The sequence below is a fragment of the Homo sapiens genome, chromosome X (genome assembly GCF_000001405.40).
Source record: "Homo sapiens chromosome X, GRCh38.p14 Primary Assembly".
In the NCBI taxonomy this organism is placed as follows: Eukaryota; Metazoa; Chordata; class Mammalia; order Primates; family Hominidae; genus Homo; species Homo sapiens.
Window position 1 is genome coordinate 103693156 of NC_000023.11, and position 12151 is coordinate 103705306.

At 44.3% G+C, this 12151-nt stretch overlaps 2 annotated features.

Moving 5' to 3' along the window:
- Positions 3883-4633: an enhancer, noted in NCBI's record as "OCT4-NANOG-H3K27ac hESC enhancer chrX:102951966-102952716 (GRCh37/hg19 assembly coordinates)". NCBI's record gives its function as "activates a minimal SCP1, AML or CMV promoter by ChIP-STARR-seq in primed H9 embryonic stem cells {active_cell/tissue: H9 hESC(primed)}" and the evidence as "EXISTENCE:reporter gene assay evidence [ECO:0000049][PMID:30033119]".
- Positions 4634-5384: an enhancer, noted in NCBI's record as "OCT4-NANOG-H3K27ac hESC enhancer chrX:102952717-102953467 (GRCh37/hg19 assembly coordinates)". NCBI's record gives its function as "activates a minimal SCP1, AML or CMV promoter by ChIP-STARR-seq in primed H9 embryonic stem cells {active_cell/tissue: H9 hESC(primed)}" and the evidence as "EXISTENCE:reporter gene assay evidence [ECO:0000049][PMID:30033119]".

The following is a 12151-nucleotide window of genomic DNA, read 5'->3' on the forward strand; positions in this document are numbered from 1 at the left end:
TTTTTCGTTTTTGAGACAGAGTTTCACTCTTATCGCCCAGGCTAGAGTGCAGTGGCGGATCTCAGCTCACTGCAACCTCCACCTCCTGGGTTCAAGCGATTCTCCTTCCTCAGCCTCCCAAGTAGCTGGGATTACAGGCGCCGGCCACCACGCCCAGCTAACTTTTTGTATTTTTAGTAGAGACGGGGTTTCGCCATGTTGGGCAGGCTGGTCTTGAACTCCTGACTTAGGTGATCTGCCCGCCTTGGCCTCTCAAAGTGCTGGGATTACAGGCGTGAGCTATCATGCCCAGCTGACCTGCAGTTTTTAAAACAGTGGGGTGGATCCCTGTCTCTCACCATACACAAAAATCAACAACAACAACAATAAAACAATGGGAAAGCTGCCTGAAGGCAAAGATCACACACACACACACACACACACACACACACACACACACACACACACTCTTTCAAGGACTTGGAACCTGACTGTTCCAGGTCCAACCTGAACCTGCTTGGAAAGGCGGGTTCCATAGAGTACCCATTGAAAACTATGTGGTTTTGTTCGTTCTTTGTTGTGTTTTCACTGTGTAACTAAGCAAATGACGGGGTTTGTACACTGCTGGGAGTGAGCAGATATGGTTGGAGAGGTGGGGCACTGTTTAGGGCATGGGGAAATCAGAGCACATGTTCTCTCAAGGTCCTGAGGTTGAGATAAAATGGTTTGAAACTGGGGACAGAGAAGGGAGCAAGGGCAGTTCCTAAAAGGTACAAAGCCGAGATTCACCCCGCTGCTTCCAGGCCAGAGTTCTGGGTAGGACGTCAATGAGACCCAGGCCGGTACAGCCAGCTTTCAATAGAGCTGGTCTGTGAAACTTGGCCGAGAGGACAGAGGAAGATTGATGTTTGCTCCAGAGTGGGGCTGTCAGCTGTGCTCACCACCTCACCATGCTCCCAGCTGTAAACAAAAGTCCTGGCCCTTCATGGCACTGCAGAGCAGTCCAGGCTGGCGTAAGTCTCTGAGGACAGCTAGACCATTTTCTCATCCTGGCTGAGAACCAGAAGACAGAAGAAACAATAGAAGGTGGTGGGTAGGGGTGGGCAGGATTGCAAGGGGGTGAGAATCAGTGACCAGAGGGAAGGAGCTGTCAATTTCAGATCTTAGGTTTGTGCATCCAAGTACTTAGTACAAATCTTATAGGGAAAGCAGACCCCTTTCCTTGTCAGCTTCACAGATAATAGTGAACTACCAAAGGAGGCTTGCAGGGACTCTAGTGCCTCATTCATTCATTCATTCTTTCAGTGAATACCTCATGTGCCTGTCACTGGGCTAGATACTCTGGGTGATGCCAAAGTAATACAAGACAGCTCGTAAATTCAAGGAACTTACAAGAAGTTTGTAAACGTGTAACCTTAAGTCACAATACCAATAGTAAGACTTTAAATCCTAAGTGACAGACATAGAATAAGAGTTTAGAAACGAGAGTAGTCATATCTGGTCATCATCAGAGAAAATGGAGTTTGAGAGGGCTATAGAAAGATAGACACAATTTGGCCAAGGGAAAAAAGATACCAGGCATTCCAGGCTAGGACCAAATTGTTAGTAACAATGAGGCCTGCCTTCGCGAAGGCAGAAAGTTAGTATGACACAGACTCTCTTCAGTCTTCACCCCGTCATGTTCCTCACCACAGCTAACCCAGTCTTCAAAACTCACTTAAATGTCACTTCCTCAGGGAGGCCTTCCCTGATCTCCAGGGCCAGATTAAGTACTCTTGCTTTATGTTCCCATAGCACCCATTACTTTCCCCTTTCTAAGACACCACTATTTTCACCTGATGACCTACTCATGTCTCCCTACAATTTGTTCTCCACTCTGCAGCCGGAGTTTTTTTGCAAATGCAAATCTGTTACATCACTTCCCTCTTGGAAACTCTCCTACCTCTAACATCTTCCTTCTCCTTTGCCTTCCTGGTCCTTCTTGCCTCTTTCCATCTTACTTTTCCTTCTGGTCACTTCTTAAATGTCTCTATCTAAGTTTGTCTCCCCTGCCAGAATGTCAGCCCTCTGAGGGCAGGAGTTATGTTTCTTCCTCACCATGTATCTGTGTATTTAGCACAGTGCCTGGCATATTGTGTTAGGCACTCCACAAAAATTTGTGAATAAATCCAAGGGAGATAAGGCAATATTAGTAGCCAACTGAAGGATTAATCTTACACTTCTGTGCAAAGGGAAATCTTTAAAAGTTTTTAAATAGGGGTATAAAAAAAATCATGAGAGAACCCTGCCTTCTGACAAAACAAACAGAACAAAGCAAAAAATGATCAAACAAAACCCAGAGAACTCCAACCTCAGCTTACCCTAAACCCGGCCTCCCAATGATCTTGTAGACTCATGTTCTCTTCCTTTCTGTTTCCCCCACCACTGCCTCCTCCAAAAACACAAGAAAACTTACTCATTGATCCTTCCAACCAGAGAAATTTGGCAGTATGGCCAAATACACTTACTTCCACATTTGTAGTTGTTCGTTGGGCTAGCATTTATTGCCCACCTCCATTGTTCCAAGTGCTGTGCTCATAGCTACAGATGGAGACTTTTTTCTTACCTCGATGGTGCTCACAACTGAGTGAACCCCTTACACTTACCACTCACTTCGTGACTTCAAATTTCTAGTGAAGGGCTTTGCTTTACCTGGGCTCAGTGATGGAGACTTTTCAGGGTACTGGAGCCTGCAAAAGACCTCAATTTCAGGACCATCTGTAAAACTGGGGACTCAGTGAGACTCAGAGGATGGATAAGTATATCCGTTTACACTAGACTGTTACCTTTCTGTGAGGAGGCTAAATGGCAGGGTGGTGAATATCCGGAAGGGTGGTTAGGCATCAGCCATTTCTTAACCTTATTAGGTTGGGCTTACTAAGGCAAACAGGCCACCAAGGTGCACCTCTTGAGTGAAGCAGCATGGAAAAACTCAAGGAATGACAGGAGAAAGAATTGGATTTCTCATTAAAAATAGAGGCACTGCCTTGCACTTTGAGGGGGGCTGAAATAAGAATGCAACTCCAAGAAACCTTCCAAAGATAATCAGAGGACACCCACTCACCCTGAGGTAGCCCTTAATGCCAGGGTATGGTTTTTTCATCTCAGATTCAGTTCCCAGCTAATTAGGGGGTAGCAAATTAAGACATCAGAGAGCCAGTGCACGTTCACCCCTTCACACCCCCCACCCCCAAAGAAGGGTGAAGGAAAGAAATAGATACTATTTTGTAGCTGAAGTCCTAACTGGATATCTCTTGGCTGAAGAATAACATCATACATGGTATCAGTGACACTTTAAAGATATAGTCATTAGTTTTGACCCTCTCTTTCCCCCTTGAATCCTTTACCCTAAACATGAATCCACCACCAGGATGTTAGGGAGAGAGACTATATGTAGCAGATGGAGACAAATGAGATTAACTTCCATGATTCATTACTTTTGCCTGTTAGGTAGCCTTGGGTGAAGACAGTTCATACACCTGGAATTTGACATCCTAATGAGATGGGACAGGAAGGGTTAACTCCAAAATCAGTGAAGTATATTTCATAGGAGAATAACAACACATTCACGAGAAACCATATTGTCTCCTTCCTTAATAGACCAACCTGAAGCTTAGGCCAATCAAATGATGATAACAGGTTGTGTTTCTGCTACGCAAAGACTAAAAGAAGTGTAAGTCTAAGGGATTAACAAATTCACAAAGAAACCCTGGTGAAAGAAATCCTGAATTTCTGCTATTTGGAGCTTGGCATGACCATTGCACACCTGTAATATCATTGTAACTGTTGCCAAGATTTTTGCTATATCCCGTTTCTGTGGGGACTGTGAATATCTAATATGAGTGTCGTCAACAGATGAACAGGGCAGAGGTTGGGAACTGAATGTTCATCACAGAAACAGTTTTTTCCCTTGCAGATTACCTTTGGCCTTGAATCTGTTGCTGTCTACAAGTCAGAGCCATCCCAGAAGTGAGCCTCTGGAGCTAATAAATGATGACACACTCTAGTCTTTCCCTTCCTGTTCTATTCTTTCCTTTCACAGCTTCAACTAAGTTGAGAAAAAAGGGGGACTACACTGAGGGCCTGAGCTTTGCCCAATCAAGCCCTCAGTATCCCCATGTTGTCTGATGAGCAGACTAGACTAAATGATCTGGGAAGGCCCTTCTAGCTCTGCTGTGCCAGGTTCTAAAATTCTTTTTTTTTTTTTTTTTTTTTTGAGACGGAGTCTCGCTCTGTCACCCAGGCTGGAGTGCAGTGGCGTGATCTTGGCTCACTGCAAGCTCCGCCTCCCAGGTTCATGTCATTCTCCTGCCTCAGCCTCCCAAGTACCTGGGACTACAGGCGCCCGCCACCACGCCCAGCTAATTTTTTGTATTTTTAGTGGAGAAGGGGTTTCACCGTGTTAGCCAGGATGGTCTCGATCTCCTGACCTCGTGATCCACCTGCCTCGGCCTTCCAAAGTGCTGGGATTACAGGCGTGAGCCACTGTGCTCAGCCGCCAGTTTCTAAAATTCTAAGACATTGTTATCTGTTGAGCCAGTTGTCTTATGGGAAATCCCATGAGACATTTGTTTTCTAAAAGAGCCAACTGTTTATTTCTCTGCATGGGCATATTGGTGAGAGTTAAATGCAGTCAGGATAGCAAATGTGTTGCTGTGGCCAATTGTCTTAAGCATTCTTGCCCTTCTGATGGTCAGGGCTGTCTTTGTAACAATGATTCTCATTGTCTGAAGTAGTTAAGGATTAGCATTAAACTGAGGACTGATAAGACTGAGGTCATTAGCCAGGCATTGTTAGTAAGTAAAAGGGGAGGTAGGGTGACAAGTATTCAGGACTTCTGTAGGTTGATAACTTGAAGAGGGGCTTAGAGTCAGAAAGATGCCCAATTGTTAGATTCCTTTGTCATCATAGCCCTTGACTTTAGCCTATTCTCAAAAAATGATCTTTCTATAATATTGCCAAATAATACAGCTGAAACATCCCTTGACCTGTTAAATGGCTTAAATTGAAAGTTATAGATGATGCAGTTTTGATTTTCAAATTTTTTAAAGAAGCAGTAAACTCTTCTCATCCTCTCTCCTCACTCCAAAGAAAATATTATGGTAAAGCAAGTATATAAACTGAGAGTGGAGTTATGCAGATTGAAACGTCTGTATATATGTGTGGGGGATGGGTATGGCTGCCTGTCCTTCCTTCCCTTCCCATGAAACCCTAGGACTCCTTGAAAATGACTTTGAAAATCCTTTGCCAAATAGATAAATTATTGTACTGTACTGAGAAATAGGTAACTTTGGGTAAGTCCCTTAAGGTCTCTCAGCCTCATTTCCTCACCTGTTACATGGATACCTGGTTATCTTACCTCAAGTTTGCTTTGAGGATGACATGGCACTTAAGAGCTTTGAAAAGGGGGGAAAAAAAAACCACAAAGATACTTGTTACCTTGATAGTGTAGTACTTCATGACACGACCCTTGCAAAGAAAGTATAGTTAGTGAGAACTAGCACAGCAATTGGGTGGTTAAAAATTTTTTTGAACTACAGTACTCATGACTTTTAAAAACTTATATAGTAAACACTAATTCATTTCTTGCTATGAGCTTGGTATGAGGAATACAAAGATAAATACCTTATAATCCCTGACCTCAAACTCATTTATCTGTGAGGGAAATAGACAAAAGAACAGTATCTAATCTTACAAGTACAAATATAGAGCTATGTACAGGGCATTATCAGATAACCTAAATCTATCTGGATGTTAGGGTCATAGCAGTTTGAGAATGCCTCACAGAAAACATGATATCTGGCGAGAGCCTTGACAGATGAATAGAATACCTCAGGTGGTCAAGGGAAGGCGTTGAAAGGCTAAGGAACAGCATGTGCAAAGGCACAGAGCATTAGACAGGATCCGGCTTGCTGGGTTCAGGGATCTGTGGGTGGATCAGCAAGGCCAAATTAAGGATGCATTTAGTGGAGTGAGGGGAGTGATGAGAGAAGAGGCTGGAGTCACTGGCAGGAGCCAGAGAAGAAAATTTCTGGTAGGCCAACTTAAGCCACTTGGGCTTTTTCCTGAGGCAATAGGGAGCCGTTGAAGGATTCAAAGCAAGGAAGTGTCATAAATAGACAGTTTTAGAAAGGCCAAATTGGCAATAGTGTGGAGGATAGGAAACCACACTGGAGTCAAAGATTGAACCAAGATGAAGTCAGGGAGTATAGAGAAGGAGGCAGGAGTTTCAGAAATATTTGAACGGTAAACACAGCAGGACTTGGTAATTGATTTTATCTGAGGGCTGTGGAAGAACTAGTTTTCAAGGACGACTCCCAAGTTTCTGGCTTAGATGATTCATCAAGATTAGGAAAGTTGAAGGACAGAGTGGCAGAGAAAGTTTGAAGGAGGTTGTGAGTTTTTTGGCTTTTTTTTTTTTTTTTTTTTTTGAGACGAAGTTGCGATCTTGTTCCCCAGGCTGGAGTATGATGGAGCGATCTCCGCTCACTGCAACCTCCGCCTCCCGGGTTCAAGTGATTCTCCTGCCTCAGCCCCCTGAGTAGCTGTTACAGGCGCCTGCCACCACGCCTGGCTAATTTTTGTATTTTAAGTAGAGACGGGGTTTTACCATGTTGGCCGGGCTGGTCTAGAACTCCTGACCTCAGGTGATCCGCCTACCTCGGCCTCCCAAAGTGCTGGGATTACAGGCGTGAGCCACCACGCCCGGCCATTTTTTGGCTCTTGAGGTACCCATGGGATGAAGTCAGAAATGTAAGAATCATCAGCACATAGGTTATCACAACCATGGAAACAGTCAAGAACAGCCAAGCAGTAGGCGTGTGGTGAGGAGAAGTGAAATCAGGAGATTAAATCCTGGAGAATAAGAACACATAAGAAGGTATGGCAGAGGGTCAAGAGAAGAAATTAGAGAATGAAGTCCATGAGAGAAGAGAATCTCAAAGAAGGTGTGACAACTCTGACAAATGTTACAGAGAAATCATGGAAGGTTAGGGCAGAAAAGTGTTGACTTGACATGGCGATTAAGAAGGTAGTATGAGGAGGCCGGGCACGGTGGCTCACGCTTGTAATCCCAGTACTTTGGGAGGCCAAGGCGGATGGATCACAAGGTCAGGAGATCGAGACCATCCAGGCTAATACGGTGAAACCCGTCTCTACTAAAAAACCCCGTCTCTACTAAAAAATACAAAACATTAGCCAGGTGTGGTGGTGGGCGCCTGTAGTCCCAGCTACTCAGGAGGCTGAGGCAGGAGAATGGCGTGAACCCAGGAGGTGGAGCTTGCAGTGAGCCGAGACCGTGCCACTGCACTCCAGCCTGGGCAACAGAGCAAGACTCCGTCTCAAAAAAAAAAAAAAAGAAGGTAGTATGAGGAATATGGGAAAAGCATTTGAGGGGTGGGTAGGGGGAAGAAGGCGGAAGATAGATTACAGTGTGTTAAGAAGTAAATGGTAGAAGTGACAATGTGGAAATGGCTAGTAAGGACATTTCTTTTAAGAAACTTGGGCCGGGTGTGGTGGCTCACACTTGTAATCCCAGCACTTTGGGAGGCAGAGGCAGGTAGATCACTTGAGGTCAGGAGTTCAAGACCAGCCTGATCAACATGGCAAAACCCCATTTCTACTAAAAATACAAAAATTAGCCGGGCATGGTGGCACACACCTGTAGTCCCAGCTACTTGGGAGGCTGAGGCAGGAGAATCTCTTGAACCTGGGAGGCACAGGCTGCAGTGAGCTGAGATCACGCCACTGCATTCCAGCCTGGGCAACAGAGAGACTCCATCTCAAAAAAAAAAAAAAAAAAAAAAACCAACAACAAAGAAAAAAGAAACTTGGTGGTGAATAAAAAGAGGGCAATAGGTCAATTAGGTCAATGGAGAGAAATTCAAGGTCCAATGGAGAGTAGTTTGTCTCCTTATTTTTTCTTTTAGATGGAAGACTCACTTCTTCCTCTTTTTCTTTTTCTCCTCCCCCTCTCCCTCCTCCTTTTCCTTCTTCCTTTTCTTCCCCGCACCTGAAAAAGCTGAGGCTAAGAGAGATTAAGCCATTTTCCATGGTTGTATAGTTTTTAAACACGTTTTATGCCAGCAGGAAGAACCTAGTGTCAGTTGAGAAACAAAATATAAAGAGAAGTGATTTTAGCTTGACCCTTTTTGTGAGCGTGGGCTTAGCAAGTGAGACTCACAGCATGGAATTTGAAGAGAGATTATGATGATGTAGTCTGGTCATGTAAAAGCTAACTTTAATTGAGCACTTACTATTTGCCAAGCACTGACTTAAGCACTTTACCAGCCGGGCGCGGTGGCTCACGCCTGTAATCCCAGCACTTTGGGAGGCCGAGGAGGTGGATCACGAGGTCAGGAGATCGAGACCATCCTGGCTAACACGGTGAAAGCCCGTCTTTACTAAAAATACAAAAAAAATAGCTGGGCGTGGTGGCAGGTGCCTGTAGTCCCAGCTACTCAGGAGGCTGAGGCAGGAGAATGGCGCGAACCCTGGAGGCGGAGCTTGTAGTGAGCCGAGATCGCGCCACTGCACTCCAGCCTGGGCGACAGAGCGAGACTCCTTCTCAAAAAAACAAAACAAAACAAAACAAACAAACAAAAAAGCACTTTACCTGCATTATCTCTTGCTTTCTCTCTTTTTTTTTTTTTTTTTTTTTTTTTGAGTCAGGGTCTTGCTCTGTCACTCAGGCTAGAGTACAGTGGTGCAATCACAGCTCACTGTAACCTCAAACTCCTGGGCTCAAGCAATCCTCCCACCTCAGCCTCCCAAGTAGCTAGGACTACAGATGTGCACCACCATGCCCAGCTAATTTTTACATTTTTTTTGTAGAGACAGGATCTCTCTATGTTCCCCAGGCTGGTATTGAACTCCTAGCCTCAAGCAATTCTCCTGCATCAGTCTCTCAAAGTGCTGGGATTACAGGCGTGAGCCACTGTGCCCAGACTGCATTATCTCATTTAATTCCCACAACAACCCTATGAGGTAGGTATTGTTATTGCTTTCATTTAACAGATGCAAAAGCTGAAGCACAGAAAAATTTGATGATTTACTCAAGGCCACATAGTTACTGCATGCTGGATATTTCAGAGCCTTCAAATGTCCCTTTAGAGGAGGAAACTGAGACTGAGGGAGGTGAAGTCATTTGTCCAAGAACCCATATCTAGTAAGTGCTGGAATTGTAATTCAAACCCAGGCTCTGTCTGGTACCAAAGCCACCAGTAATCACTACACTGTCATGAATAGAAGCTATTAAAATAAAGAATATGTGTGCATTTTTCTCGATCCAGCTCTGTAAGGCTAAATGTTCCTTGAATTTAGATGATGGTAAGAATTTTCCCTATTCCATAAAATTGATAGTGAGAGCATGTACTTCCTTGGTAATGCCCCATACGGTATAGTGCAACCAGGATATTTGTAGAAAGCCTCATGGTGAAAGCAGAGACTGAGAAAAACAGAGCTACACAGGCAGAGTGACAATAGCTGAGTTCTCATGTGACTTCTTCAGGTGGCTCCCTGACATAAGATTTACTTCATCATCCTTCCATGAAGAGAATGCTTTGTGAGGGAGAAAGCCCCTGGCTCAGATGCCCTTCTAGGATTTCCTAACAAGCTGTTCTGATACCACCAGCCCAAGTTCATAGACTGTACGCATTATCCTAGTTGTGAAGTCTCATCATGTAGCGAAGAGTGTGAGCTGAGAAGACCAGCTTAATTGCTATCCCCTCAGAGATGACTGGCTTTCCAGTGAGAACAATGTGTGGAGCATGCAGAGGCCAAAATCCCTGCTACTGTACTCACTAGTCACTGCCAGGGCTTTTATCGGGTGATTGGTTTTTGAAATATAGCTTGATACTAGTCTTCAGATTTGGAATATTACTAATGTTTAATCAGAACATTATCATTTTTTTTCAGAGCAGGAGTGGAAGTTTATTAAAAAGCTTTAAAGCAGGAAATAAAGTGCACTTTGAAGAGATCCAAGTGGGCGACTTGAAGAACAAGTGCCCCGTTTAACCATGATCCTAGGACTTTATAGGCTGGCCCACCTCCGGTGTCTTGCGCCCCTTTCCCATGATTCTTCCCTTAGGGTGGGCTGCCTGCATGCACAGTGCCCTCCTTACCCTCGGGAAGTGAGCATGTGCAGTGTGTTTAGGAAGTTGTACGCTTGAGAACATTGTCATTCTTAATTCAGGGATACAATTTACAAGGTTCTGCTGTCTTCTTAGCTTTGGTTCTGTTACACCCAAAGAGCAGTTTGTGTGTGTGGTATGTATGCATGCATGTGTGTGTGTGTGAACTCTATCTGGTTTTATAAAATCTCTTTTTGGTCTATTTTTTCTGTGACCAATAAGTTCACAGAAAGAGAATGAATGTAGTATACAGTAAACCGAATGGGAAGTCACACTATCATTCTACATGTACCTACTGAGTGTTGCTAGGTACCAGGAGCTATGTGAGCTAAAAAGTTGTATGATTGTCAGGCATGGTGGCTCACCCATGTAATCCCAGCACTTTGGAAGGCCAAGGGGGAAGGATCCCTTGAGCTCAGGAGTTCAAGACCGGCCTGGGCAACAGAGTGAGACCCTGTCTCTACAAAAAAAAAAAAGGTGTATAAGACACAGTCCTTGCCGTCAAAGAGCTTATTCTACATTTCCTCCACTGAGCAGATGATAATGCTACCTGGCTTCCTAATTCCCTAGTGGTTCCCATGCTTGGTTGATTTTGTCTTTCATTAGCAGCACAGCCTAGGAAGACCATTAATCCTAACATAGTGAAATCAAATTTAAGATTTTGATAGCAAGAAATGATAAGATAATAATATTCCATTGAGAGTGCAGAGAGGCAAGTGGGAACACACAGGAAGATTCCCAAGAGGTGATATGTTCTGGACAAAGTTGAGATAGTTGCATGGCCCAGTGAAAAGAGAAAATAACTTCAAGAGTCAAATAACCTTTCAACTAGAAGCATGCCCATTCTTTGGTGACAGGTAGGGAAAAATGCTTATGGGAGAAAGCTAAAGGAATAAATTTTCTTCACTACCTTTCTTCCATGTAGAAAGCTCTTTTTGCTTTGCCTGTGAATTCTGGGAGAACAAGAGGCTGTGCTTGTAGAATGAGGCAATAAAAGATGACAGACCAGTGGTTTTCCAGAGAGCAGAGCAAACCAAAGGGAAGATGGAGGGACTGATAGCCTTAACAACAACTGAATAAATAAAGCGCTTTCCCTGGAAAAATATATGTATAAAATATTTAGCTGGCATTAAATATTAAAAATGAATTAATGAAAACACCCAAAACACTTTATTTATGTAGGAAGTTTTTCCTCTTTAAAAAATGCTGTTCTAAATCTCAACATCACTTCAGATGTGATCTAGGCAGAAGGTAGTGTGGTCTCTGGAGGGGTAAGTACTATAAGAATGATGATAAATGGAAGCAACCTCCAAGTGAGCCTCCTGTGACCTCCTGCCAATTCACTGTGGTAAGAAGGGTTCAATTTTTATTGTATGATTGAGAGATTGCTAGGTGACAGATGCTCCCAGTGAGACCCAGTATTTCCCAGCCCCTGTACATATGTGGGAAGGGTGAGGAAAATGAAAGTCATCTGCACCTGATTCTGACACCATGCATCTCCCTTCCCTGCTTGGGGGCTCCAATGGGGAGGAATAGCACCTTCCACCTGGCATTGCCTCTGAGTGGCTTTGTGTGCTCCTGTGGGCTATTATGTTGGTTGGTACTTTGGCTTCTTTGGCTCCCAGCACCAGCTGATGCCCTGATCTGAGTCCCAGTTGGGCAGGCTCTATTGCTCAGTGCTGTAGCTGTCTCCAGGGCATTGTTCTTGAGACTTCCAACAGGGCAGATTTGTGCAGTTGGCCCATCTGGACAAGATCTATAACAAGTAGAGCTCTGTGCAATAAGCTCATCTCCATAGTCCACCCTCCCCGCTACCCCCGCCTTCGGGCTGCAGCAGCCTGACACCCCAGCCCCTCCATGGAGAGTATCAAAGAGATGCTCTCTGCTCCTTTCAAAGGAGTATTGCTTGTGGCCTCTCATTGATTGGCACTACCTGGGCAGAAATAGGAAAACAGGGGTTTTCTGCCCTTCTCAATTCAATCTGCTCCCTTATGCCAGTTATT